This window comes from Homo sapiens, chromosome 13, assembly GCF_000001405.40.
Source record: "Homo sapiens chromosome 13, GRCh38.p14 Primary Assembly".
In the NCBI taxonomy this organism is placed as follows: Eukaryota; Metazoa; Chordata; class Mammalia; order Primates; family Hominidae; genus Homo; species Homo sapiens.
In genome coordinates this window covers 66,965,777-66,989,291 of record NC_000013.11, presented here as the reverse complement: position 1 = coordinate 66,989,291, position 23,515 = coordinate 66,965,777, and the positions used below count along the sequence as shown (strand labels likewise).

Sequence of the window (23,515 nt, the reverse complement as noted above, 5' to 3'; positions counted from 1 at the left end):
ATTTCTAGCTAATTTAATGAGTGATAACCATAAACTTATCTATAAAATGACTTTTAAAATATTCCACATCCCAGCTACTCCACATTATATTAATTGAAATCACAATGAATTCATGATTTGTAACATATATAATATTTATTCCAATACTTATTCACCATGGTTGGGAATGGAGTGTAAATCTTTAATTCCTGCCCCCAAAATCCCTTCTCTTAGACTCACCTATTCTGTTAGTAGTCCCAGTTGTCACTTAGTGTATATGTTGTGCTCCAAACAAGTTTGCTGCATGTGAGTATCTATAACATGAATATCTCTAATATGAAATTTCTAACATATGAAAGAAATTACATCTCCTTCATGTGTTAGCAACTTTGCACATCATCTGGTTGTCTTCATTGGCTTTCCATAGTCTTCTGTAATCGCAATCAGTAATAACGCTCTGGATAAAGAGTAGCAAGACCTCTTAGTTTAACATCACCATTGCACTACCTATGAATTCAGAAGCTGTGAACAAGTCATCTAATAGTTCTAGACGTTCATTTCTTCATCATTAAAAATAAATAAGAATAGATGACTGTCCCTATTGAATCAAACTCTGAAATTCTAATTTCCACTAATTATTTCCTCATTCTTTCATTTGTATTATTTCCAGATTCCTTTATTTACATTCCGTCTGGGAAATACTTTGTGTGTTCCACTTTCTAAACTATCTAAGCAATCACAACCTTATATAGCAATACTCTCCAATAATGAAAATTCAATAAATATCCCAAAGTCTGTGTCATCCTTTCTGCTATGGAATGTAACACCTTGTCCAACTTCTCTTAGAATGTAAAATTCACAAACATGCTATTTTGTGCTTAGTGAGGATAAATAGCATAAGGAGCTGTTGTTTCCATTTTCCTTAGAGTTCTGAGAGTAGAAAAGGAAGGGAAACTGGCAAACATGCCAAAAGTGATATTTTGTTATGTAAACATCAGACTACGTGTTAAAAGATTACCTGTAAAATACAAGGTTTAATTTTTCATATTGCAATCCTGAACAAATTTCTATGGCCTCAATTAACTAAGAAATATTTCCCAGTCAACTTTCATTTCTTAGGAAGTAAAGACTTTACTTGGGTTTTAGAAATAAAAGTTCCCAAGGTGCAAGGATCTCTTGAGCCCAGGAGTTTGGGAACAGCCTGGACAATATAGTCAGGCCCTGTCTCTACAATAAGTAAATAAATATTAGCTGACCATAGTGCCACACACTTTAGTTCCATCTACCAGGGAAGCTGAGGCAGGAGGATCACTTGAGCCCAAGAACTTATTGAGCCCAATAAGCTATAATTCTAGCACTGCACTCCAGCCTGGGAAACAGACAAAGACCCTGTCTCAAAAAATAAAAACAAAAAATAAACTAAATTATTAAAATTTCCACTTAAAATATTATTTTGAATAGTTATTTATGGTGTCAAGGAGAACATTCTGAATCCATTTGACATTTTCAAATAAGACATTTATATGAAGTTAAGAGCCATTTCCCTTGCTTAAAACCATAAGAATATCTCCCAGCCTGTTCATCTGATAATTATTATTTAAAATAAAATTACAAAAAAATTGGAATATCTTTTCTAATCATGAAGCTGTACCATCACAGTTTTGCAATTATGCAATTCTTCATAATATAGAGTCTACCTAACAATGACTTAGTTGATTAAAAAAATGAGGTGCGTATCAGCTAGCTCTTCATTTCATTTTATAAATTTATTAATATAATACATATTACATTACGTAGGTTGTTGAATGTGGCAATTCACTCAAAAAGTGCAAAACAAGGTCAAACTGGAATGCAGATGAGGTCATAAACTTTTAAAATAGTCAATAACACAATTAATGTATCAACAGCATGTGCTATTAAGCAGTAATGTAATGATGCCACTGATCACACCAGGGTCCTCTGAGTGTTTATAAACAGGCAAGGAAGCTGGGCTCTACAGACATTTCACATGGATGCTGAAGAAAAATAGCAGTGTTTATTTAGCCTTGAAATTGTTAAAATAACTCTATTTTGAATGCTTCCAAGAAGCTCAAAATATACATATTACAAAGCATATATTGAATAAATAAAATGGAAACATCCAAAATCTAAATCAGAGCCAATTTTATTTACTTTTAAATTATAAGAACATACATATTCATTGTAATAAATTTAAGTAAAACTAACATTTGAAAATTAAAAATCAAATCTCTGCCCTCTCAAATGCCATTTTTGCAAGTAGTCTCAATTAACAGTTTAGTTTGAATTATTTCCTCAATTTTTCTATCTGTGATATAGGTAATATATCATAAACATCATCTGGAATGTGTATGATATATGCCTATTTATTATATATACATAGATACTATAGTAATGGAACCACACTATATCTATTCTCTGTGGTTCATTTTTCCATTTTATTCAGTTGTATGTTTGTTTTCATTTTATTTTAAACACTTTAAAAATTATTGAAAATGAAACAATCATCTTGTGTAGCAGTATGTAGGTTAATATACAGTGGAATTGAAAATATCTTCCTATCTATTTTTAAACATCTCAAATCATCATGGTTTTAGTACCCTAAAATCTGTTGGAAAATCATTATTGAAAGTCTGCTATAGAAGTATTAATAAGATGTTTAGCTAATTATATTCCTAAATAAAACAAGTAGCTATATCTATGTCATTCTTCTCCTCTTCAATTGTGTAAATGAACTATCTAGTATTTGGACTTTGCTTATTTCTAATACCACAGTTTAAAGGTAACTTCAAGTTATACTGAATTCCATATCCCAGTGAAAAACAGATTATTCAGTTGCATTTGTTTTGTCATGATCATTAATTCATAAGGGTGCCAAGAAGATGCAGGAAATGCTTCAGTTTCTACTTTGGGTGATGTGATGAAGAGACTTTATGATATGGTTTGCCTGTGTCCCCACCCAAATCTCATCTTGAATTGTAGTTCTCATTATCCCCACTGTCATGGGAGGGACATGGTGGGAGGTAATTGAATCATGAAGCCAGTTACTCCCATGCTGTTCTTGTGATAGTGAGTGAAATCTCATGAGATCTGATGGTTTTATAAGGGTCTTTTCCCCCTTGGATCAGCACTTTTCCTTCCTGCTGCCATGTGAAGAAGACATGTTTGCTTCCCCTTCCACCATGATTATAAGTTTCCTGAGGCCTCCCCAGCCATGCAGAACTATGAGTCATTTAACCTTTTTTAAAATTAATTACCCAGTCTCTGGCAGCTCTTTATAGTAGCATGAGAACAGACTAATACACCTCACCACTAAAAAATAGACAATGTATTCATTTATAAAGTTTTATGTCATATTCATGGCTAAGAGAATGGATATAATGACTACTGATTTGTGGCTAGGATTGACTGTCATTTTTCTGCACATTTTTTTCTCCAGATTGATTAAGGGTGTGCAGCGTTGCATTGAAATTGAAGAGCATAATCCACCCCAACTCCAACATGCAAACACACACACATACACAACTAAACATTTATTTTACTAATTTACATGCTTTTGTAGTTGAGAGAAGATTAGTTATCGTTAGTCAGTCACCCTGCAGTTATTATTACAGATTGAACAGTACAGCAGCTGAGCATGATTCACTGAATAAGTAAATTTTGTACCAGTCATGCAAATGAGCTATCCTGATGCCTGGCAGAAACCAAAATACAATTATAGCCCATAAACTTTGATACAGTCCATAGCTGAAGAAAAAGACAATTCCAAGCTTGTTACCATCTGAAATTTCAAATAACCTTTAAGAGAAAAAAAGAACATGTGTAAGCATTTAACTGTATATACAATGTACTATACTAGGAATAGTTACTTATTCATGGGTCAAATTATGGAAACAATTTAAATATGTAACATAATCATAACTGCTTAAGTTTGAATAAATTTTAAATTAATATTTTAATAATAATGTAGCTTACAGGCTACACATGCCCAAAGGTACTTTCCTATTCATTCAACAAAGACAGGATTTATTGCCAGGGATTGATCTTGGCACTGTAGTAAAGAAGACAGAAAGAATATATATTCTTGTCAAGGTTGAGCATAAAAGAATTTTATCTTGCAATAGGAACCATGGAAAAGGTAAATATTGAGGAATAATAGTAGAGACTATAACAGACAGTGATGGCTAGGCCAGTGAGGTACAATTTAATGGAGGATGAGAGCTGAATTGTGTTCCAAATGATCCAGGCAAGCAATAATTAGTAGAAGGAGTTTATTAGGCAGAAATAACAGCAAGTGCAAGTAACCTAAGGCAAGGATTCCTATGGATTTTAGAAGAACTGGGAGACAGCCAATGCAATGGGAACAGGGAGATTGAGATGGGGGGTCCACACATATAAACAAAGTTTTAAAATTGTCCTTAGAAAACCATATAGGAAATTATTAAAAGCCCAGTGACCCCTAAAAACAGAAAGAAAATATACACATATCTCCTTTATAAATGTTTTTGTAAATTATTTTGCTAAAAGAGAAAATGATGGTCAAAGTCATTTAATGGAATCATGTTGATAGTAAATTGAAATTATAGTTAAATTATTCCCTTTGCAATTCATCATATGTAGATAGATTTTCTTTCTGTTATTTACTTTCTTGGGACTAACCAATGTGTAAGATTCCATTTTAGCATTAGAATCTTAAAAAAATTTTTTGCATTCATCAGATCCAAATATTTCCCTCTACCCTTTTAAAAATGAAGAAGCCAAAGACCAGATGGTTTCAGTGATTTGTCCTAGGTCAAAACAAGCTGTACCAGGGAAGGCTCTAGAAGTAACATCATCAGAGCACTCAGGCAGTATGTGTTTTTCTATTGCAACACATGCAAATCTGTTATGGAAACACTCAAGAGGTGGAAAAATGAAGTTGGTTTGGAAATGTAGACTATAGCTATCTTAAAATCATCTGACAATTTACATCAGTACATAAATATCTGATTTAAGTAATTGTTAAGGAAACCCTTGTAGATGGCAAATGTTATTCCAGCCATTTTTAAAGAAATATATGGTGAGCAATTTCCCTGTTTTGTGTTACAGTAACTGGAATCTGACGTAGTAAAGAGGTTTCCTCCATCCTAGTCTAATATTTGATAAAGTTACAATTTCATTTACATCTGTTTTCATAAAATTGTGAATGTTATAATTAGGTGTGAATATTTATATAATATGAATAAAAGATATATAAATTATAGCAGAATGTCTATGATTATGAGCATCTCTTTCTTGTATGTTTAGTTGTTATTTATTAGAATATAATGCTCAGGATGAGAACTTTTACAAAGAGTAGCTTTTCAATAGAATAAAATATTTTTCATTGGATTATCTCAGGGAAAATAAGGGTGAGTTTGTGACACTGGGGCCTGCCTGAGGGTGGAGGGTGGGAGAAGGGAGAGGAGCAAAAAACAAAAACAAAAACAAAAAAAAACAAAAAAAACGATTGGGTACTAGGCTTAGCACCTCCTCGGTCACAAAATAATCTGCATAACAAACCCCTGTGCAATGAGTTTACCTGTAAAAGAAACCTACACATGTAGCCCTGAACCTAAAATAAAAGTTTTTTTTAAAAAAGAGTGAGTTTATGAAGTAAAGTTTTATGATTTCTGTCGCCAGAGCACACACATACTTGTGTTTTAATTTGAGAATATTTTTAAAGCCATCTGCAGCATCTCCAGTAATTCTGAGAACATAATCAGTTCCCAATTACCTTCTCAAAAGGATAAAGTAAAGCAGTGAATAATCCAAAGACTATTTATATTTGGCTAATTACATTTCTGTTTTCTCCTTTTATTTTTTTTCACACTCACTTTTTCATGAATTGGAAATGAAAACTTTTTTTTCTTAGTGACCCAACTCTAATGGATAGTAAAGGGGAACAAAGCATTCTTTCATTGTAAGTAATCGGCAAATTTCATTCTACAAAGTGACTTTTTATTTTTTTAATTTTTAAATTTTTTTATGTGCCAAATGCCTAATCTCATTTATTATTTTTATTCATTTTTCTTCTTTAACTTCTAGTTTGTGTTAAGTTCTGGGGTACACGTGCAGGACGTGCAGGTTTTTTTACATAGGTAAACGTCTGCCGTGGTGATTTGCTGCACAGATCAACTTATCACTTAAGTATTAAGCTTAGCATCCATTAGCTATTCTTCTATTTGATTCCTAACTATGAGCTTCTACACTGAGTGGGACTCCCCTATAGGTGAACTGCCCCATTTCTCAGAACTTTTATAAACATTTTACTTGACAAACATAAAGAAGCTTTGTCTTTTTCCATTAAGCTACATTTTTTCTCTAATAACATCTTCAAATTTAAAGGCCTAATGAAAATTTCACTCTTGAAGTCATAGAACATAGAGTAAATTTGAATGTAAGTCAAGACCAAGAATCAACATTATTATTTTGAAAAATACATTTATAAAATTATTCTGTTTGAAATTAAGAAACAAATGTTGCCAGCGAGATTGAAGAATCCAGGTGTTGTTTTCTCTTTTTCCAGAATTTCTGATTAAAGAATGTGGAGTCACTGTTTGTTTACAAGGTAGGGTTTCAGGGGAGTCCTACCCTGAACAAGTTAGTTTCGACAGAGGTGGCAGAAATTATCTAAGACATTTCTGAGAGGAAGACTTGGTAGATGAGATGAGTAGGTGGAGTGATCCTCATTCCAGGAGAACCCGGGGTAGGTAGGGCTTGAAGACAGTTTTCACATATTTAACAAATTTAACTATTTTTAGTCCTACCTTTATAACCAAATATTGGATTATAATGTAGCTCTTATATTCAAATACTTGCCTATGCCTACTTTTACATACTTGGTGTAATTATGACTTTTTAGTGTTTCTTGGAAGTGCGTTCTATAGGCAAACATATATTTTATAGTAGCGGATATAAGGGATTGGTTATTGTATCAGGCCATTTATGCATTGCTATAAAGAAATACCTGAGACTGGGTAATTTATAAAGAAAAGAGGTTTAACTGGCTCAAGCACTCACTGCAGGCTGTACAAGCATGGGGCTGACATCGCTCGGTTTCTAGGGAGACCTCAGATAACTTTTACTCACGGTGGAAGGCGAAGCCGGAGCAGGCACTTCACATTGTGAAAGCAGGAGCAAGAGAGAGAGTGAGTGGGGCAGGGGTGCCACATGCCTTTAAAGGAGCAGATCTCAGGAGAACTCACTATCATGAAGACAGCATCAAGCCATGAGGGATCCGCCCCCATGATCCAAACACCTCTCACTAGACCCTACCTCCAGCATTGGTGATTACAATTCAACATGAGATTTGGGCGGGGGACCAATATCCAAACAATATCAATTATTTAATTTTATATTTGTGTTACTGGTAAATAAGTTACTCTTAGAGTAATTTTCTGTTATAAATTTTACCTGTGTGATAAATTTTAGGGATACGTTAATTTTCAACTTTGCTCTTCAGTATTTAATAATATTTTATGTATTTAATAACATTTTTAATAAGCATTATTTTAAGTATTTAACAATGTTTGCAAATGACATTGTGAGAAATCAGGAAAGTGTATAAACATAGGTTGCATCCAATAAGTAAAGAGTTTTACTTTATGGAATAGCAAGAATTTAAATAATTAGTTAATCAAATACTTTTTTTCTTTTTGCTGGAAATTGTATAATTAATAGGATCTAATAAGATGTAATAATTCAATAAGTTTAAATTGAATCAAATTTCAGATAAGTAATTATAGTAAATAATGAAGGAAAACTAAATCCTGCTCAAGTACTTTTTTTAGTATAAATGAATTATCTTTTACTTTTTTTTTCTTTTTTTTTTTTTTTGAGAGGGAGTCTCGCTCTGTCACCCAGGCTGGAGTGCAGTGGCACGATCTCGGCTCATTGCAACCTCCGCCTCCCGGGTTCACGCCATTCTCCTGCCTCAGCCTCCTGAGTAGCTGGGACTACAGGCTCCTGCCACCACGCCCGGCTAACTTTTTGTATTTTTAGTAGAGACGGAGTTTCACCGTGTTAGCCACGATGGTCTTGATCTCCGCACCTCGTGATCCGCCCGCCTGGGCCTCCCGAAGTGCTGGGATTACAGGCGTGAGCCACCGCGACCGGCCTACCTTTTACTATTTCATGCTTAGTCTTATTTTATTATATTCTGTAAATGTCTTTATGGACAGTATATATTCTGTTTATTTGTGTATTCTGTTAATAGCTATAACATGTAGAATATAGTACACGTTTAAAATAGATTTTATGGAAAAACACATGGCGCTTACTTTAATAAGCATTGCACAAAGGCTGACTATGATAAAATGAATATAGCTTATAAAACAGCTTGGAATCAGCATGCATGTTTTTATCTATTTTTTGTTTACTTCATTGTAGATTTATACAAACGTTCACACTAATGGTCTTTACTACTTAAAAGGTTTAGTTAGGATATTTGTTTATTTGACAAATATTTATAAGCTCCTACTGGGTGCCAAGTACTAAGCAAGGAGTAGGATATAAAATAGTAAAAAAAAAAACAAAAAAAAAAACAAAGAAAAAAACAGGAAAAAACAAAATTTTTATGAATCCTAAAAATTAGCAATTGATAGAATTTTAAATAAGTGAGCATGCAAAGGAAGATATGATTATAAATTGTGATAAGGATTGTAATGGAAAAATAAAAACATATGAGAAAGGGTAAAGGGACCAATTTTATATCAAATCAAGAAGTATCTTATAGGAAGTAATATTCAAATTGTGATCTGAAGGATAGATAAAAATTTCTAGAACACAGGGCAGAGATTAAATTGGTTAGAAATTGTAGAAATTGGCCAAGATAATAAATCTTTATCTGATTTTAGATGAAAAACCATTTTAGGTAGAGGAGTGCATAATCCCATTATACTTTTACAAGATTACCTTGTTTGTCTTGTGGGAAATGGACTTAGACTTGGATGGAGTCATTTGTGTGTACGTGTGTGTGTGATGAAGATCATCTCTGGATGGATTGAATGGGGGTGGTGTGGGAGATAGAGGCATTAAGAATGTCCCCCAGTTTGGGAACATGAGTAAATGAAAACGAGTTTTGCCTTCATTGAGATCAAGAAGTGAAATAAGGAACAAGTTGATGGAAGGATCAGAAGTGATGATAGATAGATAGATAGATAGATAGATAGATAGATAGATAGATAGATAGATAGAGATGGATAATTTAAGTTAGTGTCATTGCTACATAAATAGTATTTGAAACAATGGGAATAAAATATATCACCTTGAGAACAGAAAAGTATTGAGCACTGAGCTATGAGAAATTTCATCAGTCAGTAGTTAAATAAAGAATTAGATAGGAAAGAAAGAAAAAGGTGGAGGGATAGGAGAAGGTAAATAGCAGATGGTGGAGTGGGCAAAGCTAAAGAGAAAAAAGAGGGATAGGCAAGAGACAAAAAAGAAGGAGAGAGATTCAAGTACAACATAGTCAAATCTTATAAAATGAGCACAGAAAAGTGTTTGTGATTTGACAGACACAGAGGTTATTGGTGGTCTTAGAAATGTAGTGTTTGGAGTTGTAAGGGGGGGATATGATCAGAATAGGTGGCTGTTTCAAGAATTTTGGACATGAATGAGAGAAGAGAAAGTAGAGATCTTGAAGGAGATGTGGATTTGGCTGTTTTATCTTAAAATGAGAGTCACTATAGAATATTTGTATGTTGTTGTAATATTCTATTAGAGAAGAATGCTGAAGATTCAGGAGAAAGAAGCCTTTGAGAAAACATAAGGTGGAACAAAGGGAATGGGCTCTAGATCACAGATAGTCATATGAATTTTTAATAGGAAGACAGATATCTTCACTGTTTATAATGAATAAGGTAATAGAAACAATAGATTCAGAACCATGTAGATTTACAGACTTTGGATAAAATATGAAGGAGTTTCAAATGTCTTTTATTTTCTCAATGAAATGTGATGCAAGGTTTCATTGGAATTTATACAAGGGCATTCAGTTACTAAAGTAATGGAAAAACATAATTATGAGAAGGTTTGCCTAGGCTCCATCTTTGCATGCATTCCAGGTTGATAACCCTCAAAGAAGTGAAAACTCCAAGGTTTTTGTTTCATTTTTGTCTTGGATTTCACCTCTTTGCTCTGATACTGATATTTTTTCTGAACTCAACACTTATAACTTGTCGAAACAAAACAAAACGTCATGTCTTTCTTTGCTACCCAAATATGGATATTCAACATTAGAATAAAAGATAATTTTGTGTTGTTCCTTATAAATAAAATGTATGTTCTTTATAAATACAAATGTATAAGATTTTTGGCCTTCATAACTTTATATAACAGTACATATATATCTATGTAACTGTATGTAAATATATACATGATTTTGGCCTTAATAACTTCATACATATGCATATATAAATATACATATATACATACATTCATATTCATATATATACACACATATATACATACATTTATGTACATATATATGAAGTTAAGGCCAAAAATCATATACATTTATATACAGTTACATATGTATATTTATGTATTCTTATGAAACAACATATTATACAATTATATATAATATATATATTCTTATAGAAGATAGTAGCATAAACTAAGAAAAGAAGCAATCCATATATAAATCCTTACATAAATCTCTGATCTATAATTCACATACTTCTACAAAAGAAGTCTGAATAATTATATTTTGTAGTCTATGTAGAAAAACTAAAATAGGAGCATATGTGAATGTCTCATAATAAATTTTACTTTTTAATCACATATATCTGCACAATAGGTACCTTTAAGAAACTTGTAAAATAGCATACTAAGGAATAGTATCTATTTTTCTTGCAGTCATGCAGAAATTGCAATTGCTTTTATTTTGCAGATGGATAATCCTAAGCAAGGAGAAAAATCAGTGTTTGTTTTTTTTTTGTATTTGGTTTGCAGAGTTACTTTACCCTAAATACCTTACAAGATCTATCTGAAAATTATCATTTAAATTGGCTCCTGAATTTCAGCATCTGAACATAATTCTCCCATTTTCTTATGGTCAGTGACAGCAACAATAACAGCAACAACAACAAAACTCCAAACTAACAAGAATTAAAATGCAAGACAATAACAAACTATCAATAACCTGAAACTATACCTTGAAAACATCATTTCTCTTATCTGGTAAATTAATCTTTTATATGTCTAATTAAACAATTGAACATTTTAGTGTTTCTTTTCACTTACGAAAGGGCTTTAAAGTGTTTTAAGGGATACAACAGGTATGAAAAAATATTTAGCAAATTTTCACTTAACATTATTAACATCTGTCTGCATTATGTGCTTCCTCTAAACATTATATTTTTGCCTTTAAAATCGGCATTCCTTTAATTGCCTTGTAGCTATTTTCTATGCGAAATCTGGTGGGATAGAGCATTTCCACTGAGGAGATCAGATTTTACCAGAAGCACCATTTCCCAGCACTCTTTTCTGGTAGAAGCTGGGTTCCTGGTGGAAATGATGCTGCTTTTAGGATGATCTGAAGTACTCTGGAGAGATACCTTCTGCTCAGTTACCATTCAAGCTGGAACCTGCTATGACAGTTGTCAACAGTGCCCTTTCTGATGTCGCCCAGTTGTGTTCCATTTAGAATAAGTACTTAAAGAGACACCTGCTCGGAAAGCCAGAATAGAGAAGCTGCATGATTCTGGCAAACATATGTAGACAATAATATCCCTTTCCTACCTTGGGCAATAACTTAATAAAGCCTTTAAGACAACAGAATCTTAAGTAGTCATCCTTTTTGTTGTTGATGAGAAGGAGGGATATGGATACCAGCATCAAAACTTTCTTTATGTGCCTACAGCTGTGATCTGGGCACTACCACGTTATCCTGCTGCTATGACTCTCCAGCCATATGCTGCCGTTTATAGTACAGCCTATGATTCAGGCTGCAATGCTTGTGAAATTGGCATAAAGGCTGTCATCACCGTACTCTAAACACCCTGCAAGCCAGATTTTTCTTCTTCCTTTGAAAATTAGACGAGATCCCCCAAATGTCAAGCATATAGATGGTATATATTCTAAACATATAAAGGTGTACCATTCAAAAAGAGCAAAATATTATTTATTAATTATCACAGAGGGAGAAGTATAAAGATAATCTATTAACAGAATGAGAAATAAAATGACCCAACCCAAACCTATTAAAGGTCTCTGGTAAGTAAGGAAAAGCATTTAAAGATGACAGACTAAGTCTTTGGATCACTGGGGTGCAGAGCAGTGGTCTGCTTTTCAACATTAGTGTTTAAATGGAAAACAAAAATCTAAAATTAGTTTCAAATTTCAGAAGCCTGATTTTATGATTTTATCTTTACCCTCAGGAATTATACAATGAAAAAATGATAATAAAGGTGGTCCTATGGATAAAAACAAAGGTAAAATAAACTCTCTGCACTTTCCCAAACATCAGATTTATCCTTATTTTTCTTACTTGATTACAGATAAAGTGTAATATCCTGGACTAGATACAGGTCATACAAATGACAAATTACAGTTTGTATCTGTTTTTCCCATCTACCCTGACTTCCACCTAAAGGCGCTTGTTCTGATCCTAGCTCTACCTGCCTTGCCTAAGTATTGACTTCTGTTGTTCATATTGGTCTTGAGCCTTGTTGGGTTTATGGAATTGCTACTCCCAGTAAAATATTGTATGTATGGTAATAAGACATGTGTCTTATGGAGGGTGATCTACAGTTTATTTATGAAAAGTCATTTGAAACTCAAAGAGTTATTTTACTGGAAAAAATTCAGGTACTGAAAGATTCCATAGAGAAAATGAGTTTCACCCAAAGGGCTCAGATAATCCTCAAACCATACCCATATGAAAGTTGCCCAGTATAACTTTAAATACATCTCCAGTTTATGTGTTCTTTAGATTGACTACTTTACATAGACTACTACCATATCTTCTATACATTTCTATTAATTACTTAAAATGAATAATCAATATTTTTCCTCCAATATTTAAAACTAAAATAAATAAATAACTGCATGCAACTGAAAAGTAGTTTGCCAATGAGGGGATTTTAGAATTGAAGAATATCAGTTAGATGGATTGGATGAGACAGTAGGCAGCAGACACTTTGTGTATTTTTTTCCTCAAAGGACAGAGGGACCGTCTCCTGTCTTACTTTGTACATGCCCTATCTTTCAACAGAAATATTTTCTTGAAGGCCCTATTTTTCTCTACCAATTTCACCTTCTTATCCTTTCTTTAAAAACGTAGCAAAATTCACCTCTTATAGACTGTTTTCTGTGATTAACTGTATCTCACTGATTACTGAATTGCTCTTCCACAGGTTTATTTAGAAATGTATTACTTTCCACTCATTGTAAAGTTCCTCTTGGAGGGGGATGATATTATAGCACTTGGTGTATAAATATATTGCCTCTTACCATATTTTATGGCAATTATTTCTATTTCCTCTACTATACGGAGATCTTCCCAAGGTCAAGTACATTATTTTTGTATTTCTGGCACCTAGTTATCTGGTTCCTGGCACATAGTGGGCGCTTAATAAAGGTTTGCTGAATGAGAGCATTAATGATACAGTAATGACTGTTGAAAGATTCTTCCGTCTCCTTGTCCCCTGTTCCACCTCCCTCTCTTTCTCTTTGCTCTAAAAAATGTTTAGCATTGACTCCATGTTTTGAATTTCTCAGAAATGATTTCATTTCACTAGCTGGGTGCACTTGGGAAAATTACTTAATGTATCTGTGCTTTTGTTTTCCTAACTATCAAATGGAAACAATAATAACTATCTACCTAGCGGGATGGTTTTTAGTTTAAATAACTTCATAAGCATAAGCCATTTATGACAATGTCTAACACAGAGCAAATGTTGAAACCATTATTAGTCCTTATCCTAACAAAAAATCCATTGAGATAATTTGTCGTTAGAATGGATTGTATCTTCCTTCCCAAATAGTTCATATTTTATTGAGATCTCTCCAAATAGCGTTAAAAGTAATTCTGATTGTTATAATTCACTAATTTGAGGTCATTTAGATTTCTGCTTTCTATGACATGGCCTATCTGTGTCTCTTCTGTTCACTATAAATTCCACTAGGATAGACAGAGATGCTTTCTAGGCATTTATCATGCTAGTTCATGGTGAAGATAAGGACTTTTTAATGGAAGCTTTAAACCCACAATTTTCTTTTATTAGTTTAGTACAATGATTAATATTCTCAAAATAAACAAAGGAGTAAAAACCTAAGCATCTCTAACATAGACAGGCTTTTATTAGTGTCATATCAAAAGTCATTTAACTACTATGTGGTTAAAACTGTCTTATTTAAACCAGGTTATGTCATAACACTGTTGCAGAAAAGGTGAATAGTTCATATCGTACTGCATGTTCAGTCGCTCACAATTAAACTCCACAATATAAAATTTCACTGTAAAGCTGTTTTCAACTCTCAACTGGCCTAAGAACTGAAATTCTGTATATGTGCAACTTGTCATTTATGAATGGGATTTGTTTCTAAAATGTGTAATTAAGCTCAATTGTTTGAAACTAGAAAGATGCTTTAATGTGCTTTAAGGAGTTAGGCGCATAGAGTAGGTCACAAACAATTTGCCAATAAATTACCGCAAGAAACAGTTCTATAGAATATTACTAATACATAACTGTAGTATGGGAAAATGCCTTCAGAAGTTAAAAATGAGATGCCAGGACTGTCTCCCCCTCAACTCTGGGCTATAATCTACCCACTTCCCTACTTCTTTTCCAATCCAATTTCTGTACAGATGGAGGCAAGCCTTCCTCATTCCAAGACTATAGTTGAAAGCTGAAACTTGAACCACGTAGGCATTAGAGTGACTCTGAAAAGGGGTTGTAACTTGAGAGGGAAGGAGAGAAAGGGGTTAGGTCAGGGAAAGCAGAGCTGAGATTTTCTTTTCTACAATCCTTTGCAGCTACTCCATTACCTCAGGAGCTTCCAAAGTTGGGGGCACACTCCCTGAGAGGTAGTTGAGAGGATGCATTGTAGTGTATGGAATATATTAGACTCTCATATCATTTTGTTCTTGGAGATAAGAAATAAATTTAACCTTTTGGTATTTAAAATACAGACAGACTCACCCCCATCACGAAGGTCATTGTGGTCATGCGCAGCTTTGTAAGGTATGCTGAGGGAAGCGTAGGTGAGTTCTAACATGGAACATAGTGGATCCTTTATCACACATTTGCTTTCACTGTAATGTATCATGTTCCAGCTTCCAGTTTCCATACTCCTGTTAAGCAAAATAGCAATCCTATTATTCTATTGTAACTAAACAAATTCTCAGCAAGTGTAGATGTGTTTGTTTTCAAATGGACAGTGTGCAAAAGTAAACAAAATACAAGCAAATGCTAACAAACCTTGGGGAAATGGCTCCTCTACTGTTAGAATAAGTTTTAGGTCAGACACATTATACCTTTTAAAAACTAACATGATCTGATCCAATAAGAAGTAATACAAAAAATTGAAAATGTAAAGGTTATTTGAAATCAGTTATTTAAACTGTCCATCTGTTATGAATGATGACTTTCACCCAAGGTTTGTATCATGCCTTGATAGGTTAGCTAACAATGAAAGTACATGGATATGATTAAAAATGAATAGATGATTAGCAGGTTTATCTTCACGTTTTATTTTTTAAACTGATTCATGTACATGATCAAAGTATTTTGAAACACTGGCCTAGACACCCATTCTGTCACCTCTTCCTTTTTCTTTGAGGACCTCCAATATTGGTCGTTTCCTCCTCCTTTTCTAGCTGTCTGTGGAGTTCTGTCTAGTCTCATGAGCATTCTTTTAATTAAATAGCCATGTTTGGGCATCTTGATTTTAACAGTTTGCTTTTGTTCTTGCTTGTATCAACTTATGTTACTAGAAAGGATTAAAAAAATAAAAGTGAACCTTTAGATTTCTGAAGGACTAAAGCATTATTTCAAAAGGCATCATAGTGTTCAGTATATGGCTGGTGGGAATTAGGAGAAAAGGTGATTGCTGAAAATTTGGACCAAGGACAATGTTCTAGGGAAGCCACAAGAACAAAATGTAGAGCTCCTCAAAGAGCTAATTCTCCCAGTGATACTACAATTCAGTGAAGTAGGACCTGAATTCAAAGGAAGCCAGGTAGCAGTTTCAGAGTATGGTTACATCCAGTTATGTTTTACAGGGTGCTGATTGGAAAGAAGATGGATATACTACATGGAAAACAGGGAAAGAAAGAAAGTCTCTAAAGCGACTTTGCTGTTTATCTGATACCGGATGAATTTATATTTGCCCATATAATGCATGGGCAAAGAAAAGAAAGTGACTAGTCATCTAACTTAGTTTATTTCTTTATCTTATTTCATTATTTTAAAGGCAGGACAAGTACAAGTGTGAGTCATAGAGTTAAAATTTCAATAAGAATTAGCAGTGACTGAAGTTTCCAAAACCAGTTTCAGAGTTTCTGTATCAATGTAATGGAGACGAGAGCTATGTCAGAACATTCTTGTGAAAAAATAAATGTGATAGCAAACCAGGATTTCAGACTGACACTTGTGGAAACTGCCATAGATCTCAATAGCTAGGCCACAAATTAGTTATTTCAGGACTTATTGTAAACTATGCTCTAGTGGTTTGAGAAATATGAATTTAAAAAATCACAGATATGCTTGGTGAGGAGAATAGCAAAAGTCATTTATTAAGGAGAGGAATGACTGAAAACACATAATTTGCATGACTTAAGCCGTGTTCTTCTTCAGGATATAATACTAGGTTATAATGCAAGTTAAGAAAAGGTCCATCAAAAAATAGGGCGGTATGCAGAAAATATACTTTTAAGAGAAAGTTATTAATTTTTTTCTAGGTTTTATGATAATTGTCTCATCCTCCTCTTCTACTACTATTTGTGTCTGTAATTATTCTTGTATATTTGGTAGAAAAACACAATTAATTATTCTGTTTAACACAGAAGATGATGTAGCTATGAATATCTTTCAGTAATTCTATGTCTAATAACTAGAAAAATTACCCTTGTAAGTAATTTGATTTCTTGTGTTGCAGTATGATTCTGTGTGTACATGTGTGTGTATTAGCAATACATTCAGGTGGAGCTTTCTAGAATCAGTGTACAATAGTATATGTAAGATTCAGATGCAAACAGTTATCATGGCCCAACTTAATTTTCTTCCTTGGTGTTAAGAATGTTTCCATTCGATGGAGGTTATATACCTAAACCAACATTTATAATAACATTAATTATATTAAGATCATATATTATCTAATATATTAAGATCGAATATTATCCTTCCATATGGTACACCTTTAACAATAGCTCGAAGACTTAACTGAGTGTAATTAGAATAATTCCTTACAAAAATGTGAAACAGCAAGGACTAATTTATTTTTATTTCTTTAACTAAAATATGTTTTGGGTTTCTAAGTTCTTTCAGATATATTATTTGACAAGACTTTCTTTCATTTTATTATTCTTGTTTTGTTTCTGCTCTTCATCAGGACAAACACATGTTCAAGGATACCTCTGAAGGATGGAATTTATGGGCTGCCTGTTCCAGTGTGCATTAGATTTGCAGTCATTGAATAGATTAGTTTAAGCAATTAAAAGAGACACCATATAAACCTTACACAAGCATATAATGATGCCAGGAGGCAGTAATGGCCTTGGGAGAATATAAATCGAATAATCAGAATAAGATTATATTGTGGTTCCTTTTCAAAAATGCAAAAGAGAAAATATAAACTTTTTCATGCATTCATCCTTGATGTTATTTAATGTTTTTGAGAAGACAGGAAAATGCGATTTTTAAAAAAGGGATTTTTAAGGACAAATCAGTAAACATTATTCTGCAGGTTTGTGTTTGGTTTTGTTTATATTCATTTGCATATTATGGACTGCTGTTTGCATAATAAGACCACTGTTATTTCTAGTTAGTCCATGGGTGATTACACATATGAATAACACAATCGTGTATCCTTTGTGATATACATTATTGTAATCTATGAAAATTTCCTGACTGTTCTCAGCACTGAAGACGAGTGAATCACAGTACAGAGTGTTAGAGGACAACTGCACAGTATTATACTGCCATTTAAAAGGCAGAAGAGTCTAAAAACTCACAATTTGTCCAAATAGACTTCAAATATGCAGAACTGTGGTTAGAAAGCTGAGCTCATGCATGGCCACAGATCTGCACAACTTGGCCCTCTTTGATCAATATCTAGGACTGACACAATTGCACAGTGATCTGCATAGATAAGATGGTCAAATAATTAGACTGAATAGGCAGCCATTCTGACACTGATCATTATAGGCTAGACATAAGAATTCGATATAGGTTAGCCCTTTGTTAAAAAGATAAATAAATAAACAGATGCCCTCAGTGACTTGTATGTATAATGGAGATGGGGAATGGATTGGGGAATAACAAATTTCACTGCCAGAAACACTCCTACTGCCCTCTAAAAATGTTAGGATCAGTCTCAAAATTGGGAAGGGATCCAGAGTGAGGACTAAGGAGAAAAATCCTGGATATGTGTGAGAATGGGGGCTAAGCATTTTTTTTTTTTTTGCTTTTTTTTTTTTTTTTCAGACAGGGTCTCATTCCTAGGCTTGAGTGCAGTGGCATGAACCCCTGTAAGCTTGAATCCTGGGCTGAAGCAATCCTTTTGTCTCAGCCTCCCCAGTAGTCAGGACCACACACATGCATCACTACACCTGATTGATTTTTATTATTTATTATTTTTTTTGTAGAGATGGGGTTCTTGCTATGTTACCTATGCTGGTCTTGAACTCCTGGCCTCAAGTGATCCACCCTCCTTGGCCCCCCAGAGTTCTGAGATTACCAGCCTGAGTCACCATGCCCAGACTTTAACTCTATTTTTTTCTTAAGGGCTGCCAAAGAAATAACTTGTTATTCTCAGTATGCACGAAGACCCACATAATACTACACATTTCAACAAATTATTTTTTAGGTTCTTCTGCAGTGAAAATTATGTGAAAGTAATAATCATCACACTATCTCTAGTTGTAATGCCACTAGATTTTCTGAAATTCTAATCAGTTTAAAGAAGCATCAACCTGGAACAACTTGTCTAGGTGTGAGATGATCTAGTTTTTCTTTGCAAGAATGTCTGAGGCAGGTTTGTTTTTCCATTTCCTCTTTCAGAGTGTATTTATAATTGCATTAAAAGGGACAATTGTAACTAGAATAACATCTTAAAATGCACATACATGCACTTACTTTGGATACATAACCAAGAACTAAAATATAGTTGTTATTAATATGATTGATTTAAGACTTGTGATTTTTCCAGAAAGCACTTTTGCTTTAGACTTTCCCTCTCCAAAATAAAAAGCAGCTAATTGTGCTTCGAGAGTGTATACATGTCCCATTTCAGATTTATATATGAAGAAAATCTCATAACTGATATTAAGAAAACATTTAGCTTCTATAATTGAGTCTGTGTATATCTGTGAAAATGGAATTTTGATAAAAAATCCCATTTTAGATGCTTTAGGTTAAAGCACAAACGTTTCTGAGATTTTGGGTAACAAATAGTATAAAGTGAATCAATCAATGCTTGTTATTGAAAAAAATGGTTTGTAAGAGAGGTATTTAATTGGTGTGCATAATCCTGTTTTATGCAGAAAGTGCTGGGCAAGAAAGTCAAATTGAGATTTCTCAATCATACTATTGAAATTCAAGAGTACTGTACAACATTCTTTCACCTGACAGGATTATGCTATCAACATAATTGTAGGCTCTAGACTGTAGTGATTTCAATTTATTATTAGTATATAAGCTGCTGAATATAACAATGGGCAATAAGCTGCTGAATATAACAATGGGCAATAAGACATTGAAATGGAAAGTGTCCACATATAACATTCACTTTTTGAGGCTCTGAATTCCAAAAAGGCTTAAATGATGGATTCTAAAAAATAAAAATCAGTGGGCTTAACACTGATTCATAACAAAGTATGGGTTGAAAATTAGGTGCGTTGCAAATGTTAAAAAAATCAAAAATCAAATCACTAAGCGGTATTCACAGTAGCGAGAGTACCGAATAAAATTCATTTTTAATTTTGAAAAAATTGATTGACAGCTTACTGAAATGCTAAGAAATAAATTAGCAATGCCAGTATGGCTTTTGACAGTCTTTCCTCTATTTCAGGGAAACAAATAGATGAATATGCTCGACATGTTACAGCTAAAGGGTTCCAGTGATACTTAAAGGGAATCTTTGTGTTCTGTGGTAACAGGCAGGCTGTGGATTGAGAAGGTCCCCACTGGAATTCTAGCTCTCCTTAACTGATATTCAGTCATTCATATTTTTAATTTCTTTTTCTAAAAAATGTGAATAGCACACTAAATGGTTGTTATAACAGTTAAAGATCATATATTTGTGGCTCCTAAAACATAATAAATAATCAAATTTGGTAATATGTGGATATCATCTTAGAAGGAGGTTTCTGGTGTTGTGATATGGGCATTTGTACTTGGACTATTTTTTAACAATGATTTTAATGTATGATAGGTTATGCTTATCATATTTACAAGCAATGCACAGTTGAATTGATAGCTAATGTATTAGCCGATTAACAGAATCAAAGTTTAGAAAATCTTAACCAATGGAAACAATATACCTGTGCCATCAGCATGAAATAAGGTCCTCCACTCTAATACAAGAAACCAATAAAAGAAGCAAGGTCGAAGGAGTCGTGATTTGACAACATCTCATCTTAAAGACTTAGGTAGGAACTCTTAGTTGATTGTAAGTGGACTATGAGTCATGCTGTGATGAGAATGCCAAGAAAAGCTAATGGAATCTTGGGCATCTTTAATAGAAGTATACCGTACAAAGCCATGGGGGTAATTCCCATAGTTGTCTGCCCTGATCAGAGTAGCTTGAAGATAATGTAATGTTTTGGACACTGCATTTTAAGAGACATTGCAAAATTAGAAGATGACAAAGAAGCATCTGGAAATAAAGCCATGTAAGGATAGTTGGTTGGGAAAGTGTTATAGTCACCTGCAAGTATTTAAAAAGCTTTTACATGGAAAAAAATAAACTTCTTTTAAACTTTATCTGACAAAACATAAGATTACTGGAAGTTATATAAGCAGGTAAATTTGGATTTTCTGTAATGAAGTAGCTTCTTTCTAACAGAACTGCTAAAAATGGAATGCTTTCCCTTATGAGGTGGTAAATCTCTTGCCAATGTAAGTGTTGAAGCAGATGCTGAATGATCTCCTGTTAGAACTGGATGAGAGGCTCCCTCATTCCACAAACATGAACTGAATACATGCCAGGTACCAGGGCTTCAAAAATAATAAACAGAGACAAGTATATGACATAACATGGATAATAGCATCATTTTCTAGGATTCAATGAAGGACCATCTAAGCCACCCCAAATCTTCTAATTATCCGGTAAATGTAAATTCTATAGTAGAGTTTAACAGGTTAAAATACAATGATCAAATTAAAACTTGGATGTCAAAATACTTAGTCTGATTTAAAGACTTTTGCATAGCATTTGTTAAGAAAAAATTTTTTTTTGTATTTGTATAATTTGTTGTTATTTTGCATTCAGTGTTATAGTCTTGTATTGGACTTATCTATGGATTTGGGTAAACTTGTTACTTATTAAATATGCATGTATGTCTCAATATTAGGAAAATTTCTATTACACTAAAACAGCACTCTCCTAAAGAACTTTCTGCAGTGATGGAAATGTTCTATATGTATGTTAACCAATGCAATAGCTGCAGGCAGTTTCTGAGCACTCTGAATGTGACAAGTGTGATTGAGGAACTAACTTTCAAATTTTATTTAATTTTTATTAGTTTAAATTTAAATAGCTATATGTGGTGAATAGCAACAATGTTGGACAGTGTGGCTTTAAACAACTGGATTAATTTGATATCACTACGAATAATTCCACCTGTCAATTAATGAGCATACATATATATAAGACTAAATGAACTATTTCTTCTCCTCACCATTATGAGGATTTAGATACATTCTGCCATTTTAAGTGATTTTTTTCTCTAACATAACTTGGAATCTGTCTTATGTTTGACAGAGTATAGTATACTTGGTTCTTTAAATCTGACTTCACAATTTTCAGGTTGGGAGCTACCTTGGCATAGTCCTCCTTCCTTGTTCCTTTTCTTTTACATTGATCTGCCAGTTTAGCACTGAAGTTTGCATTTGATATGTTTATTTATTCATATATTTGGGAGTCAGACTACGGTCTGCTTTTAGTTTACCCATTTGGCTTGATGCCATTCCATTCTATTTGCTTACATATCCTGATTCAAAGTTACTAATAACTCTATAATAATTTTCCAGTTTTCTTCTCTATTTCATATTCCTTGTCTCATTCTCCCACCTCTTCACTGTAGACTTCATTTTTTAATATTCTATTGGATGAGCCACTGCAACTATGAACACTGTCATGCCCTCATGACCCTTCAGCAAAAGAGCTCAGGCACAAAAATCACTGTGAATAGTTTTTACTTCACTATAAAGGCAGCTAACAAAATGTCATCTTAAATCATAGAATTATAGAAATTTGTAGCAAACATGAATTGAAGAAATGATTAAACCTCTCTACTGCTTTTTGCTAAAACTGCTTTTCTTGTCACTTCTACTCTTTCTAGGAAATATATCTGAGTATTTCCTAGTAAATGATTCTATTTTCCTGAGAACATCCTCCTTATTGGCAGCCTCGACTGAGGGTCTATCATTACAGACGCCATACAGAGTAGCATGCTGAAGAATTTATGTACACACCTTCATTTAGCTGTTTTAAAGTTTGGAATTGTTTTCATCACCCACAGTTTCTACTGCATCGCTTGTTTCTTATTCAGATTGGTATTTTTTATAAACATGTTTTATGTTACCTCATTTGATACTTGAAACAACTTAAACAACAAGTTTGGTAGGAGGGGTAGTCAATATTGTCCCTATTTGGAAACGAGGAAACAGAAGCTCAGAAACCCAAGGGGCTTGCCCAAGATTTTGTGTGTACTGAGTTGCTGAGGTGGGAGATGAACCAGGCCTTCCCTGGCTTAAAACCCCTAATCTCCATGTCTAGAAATAAGAAGAGCCAAGTAAATATATGATACATATTTTTTTAAAATATGGCATGCAATTCAGCTATTTCTTCATGTATATCGTAAATTAGTAATGAGAACAATTTCAAAAAGATTTAGGTGACCTAAATTCAATTCTTGAAAATGTAAAGTATTCTTTGACCTTGAATTTCTGGCTTTTTCTCTTAATATATGACTTGGTATTGATTTGCATGTTTTAAAGAAATATATATAAAATATTTTTAGATAAGAATTTACATCACTTTCACATATTTTGTCTTATGTTCAATGCAATTACTATAGCTGACATTAAAAATAATCAGAACTTATTCT

At 33.4% G+C, this 23,515-nt stretch overlaps 1 protein-coding gene and 1 long non-coding RNA gene across 7 annotated transcripts in view; one reads left to right on the top strand and one right to left on the bottom strand.

Moving 5' to 3' along the window:
- The window catches only part of PCDH9 (protocadherin 9), a 927,503-nt gene that overhangs the window by 241,045 nt on the left and 662,943 nt on the right, over positions 1-23,515 (top strand). The window lies entirely within an intron of this gene.
- Positions 3,516-11,903, bottom strand: PCDH9-AS3 (PCDH9 antisense RNA 3). The gene is made up of 3 exons (NR_046636.1): positions 11,761-11,903; positions 10,821-10,919; positions 3,516-3,795 (listed from the first exon to the last, which is right to left on the bottom strand). It is a non-coding gene; the product is annotated as a PCDH9 antisense RNA 3 (long non-coding RNA).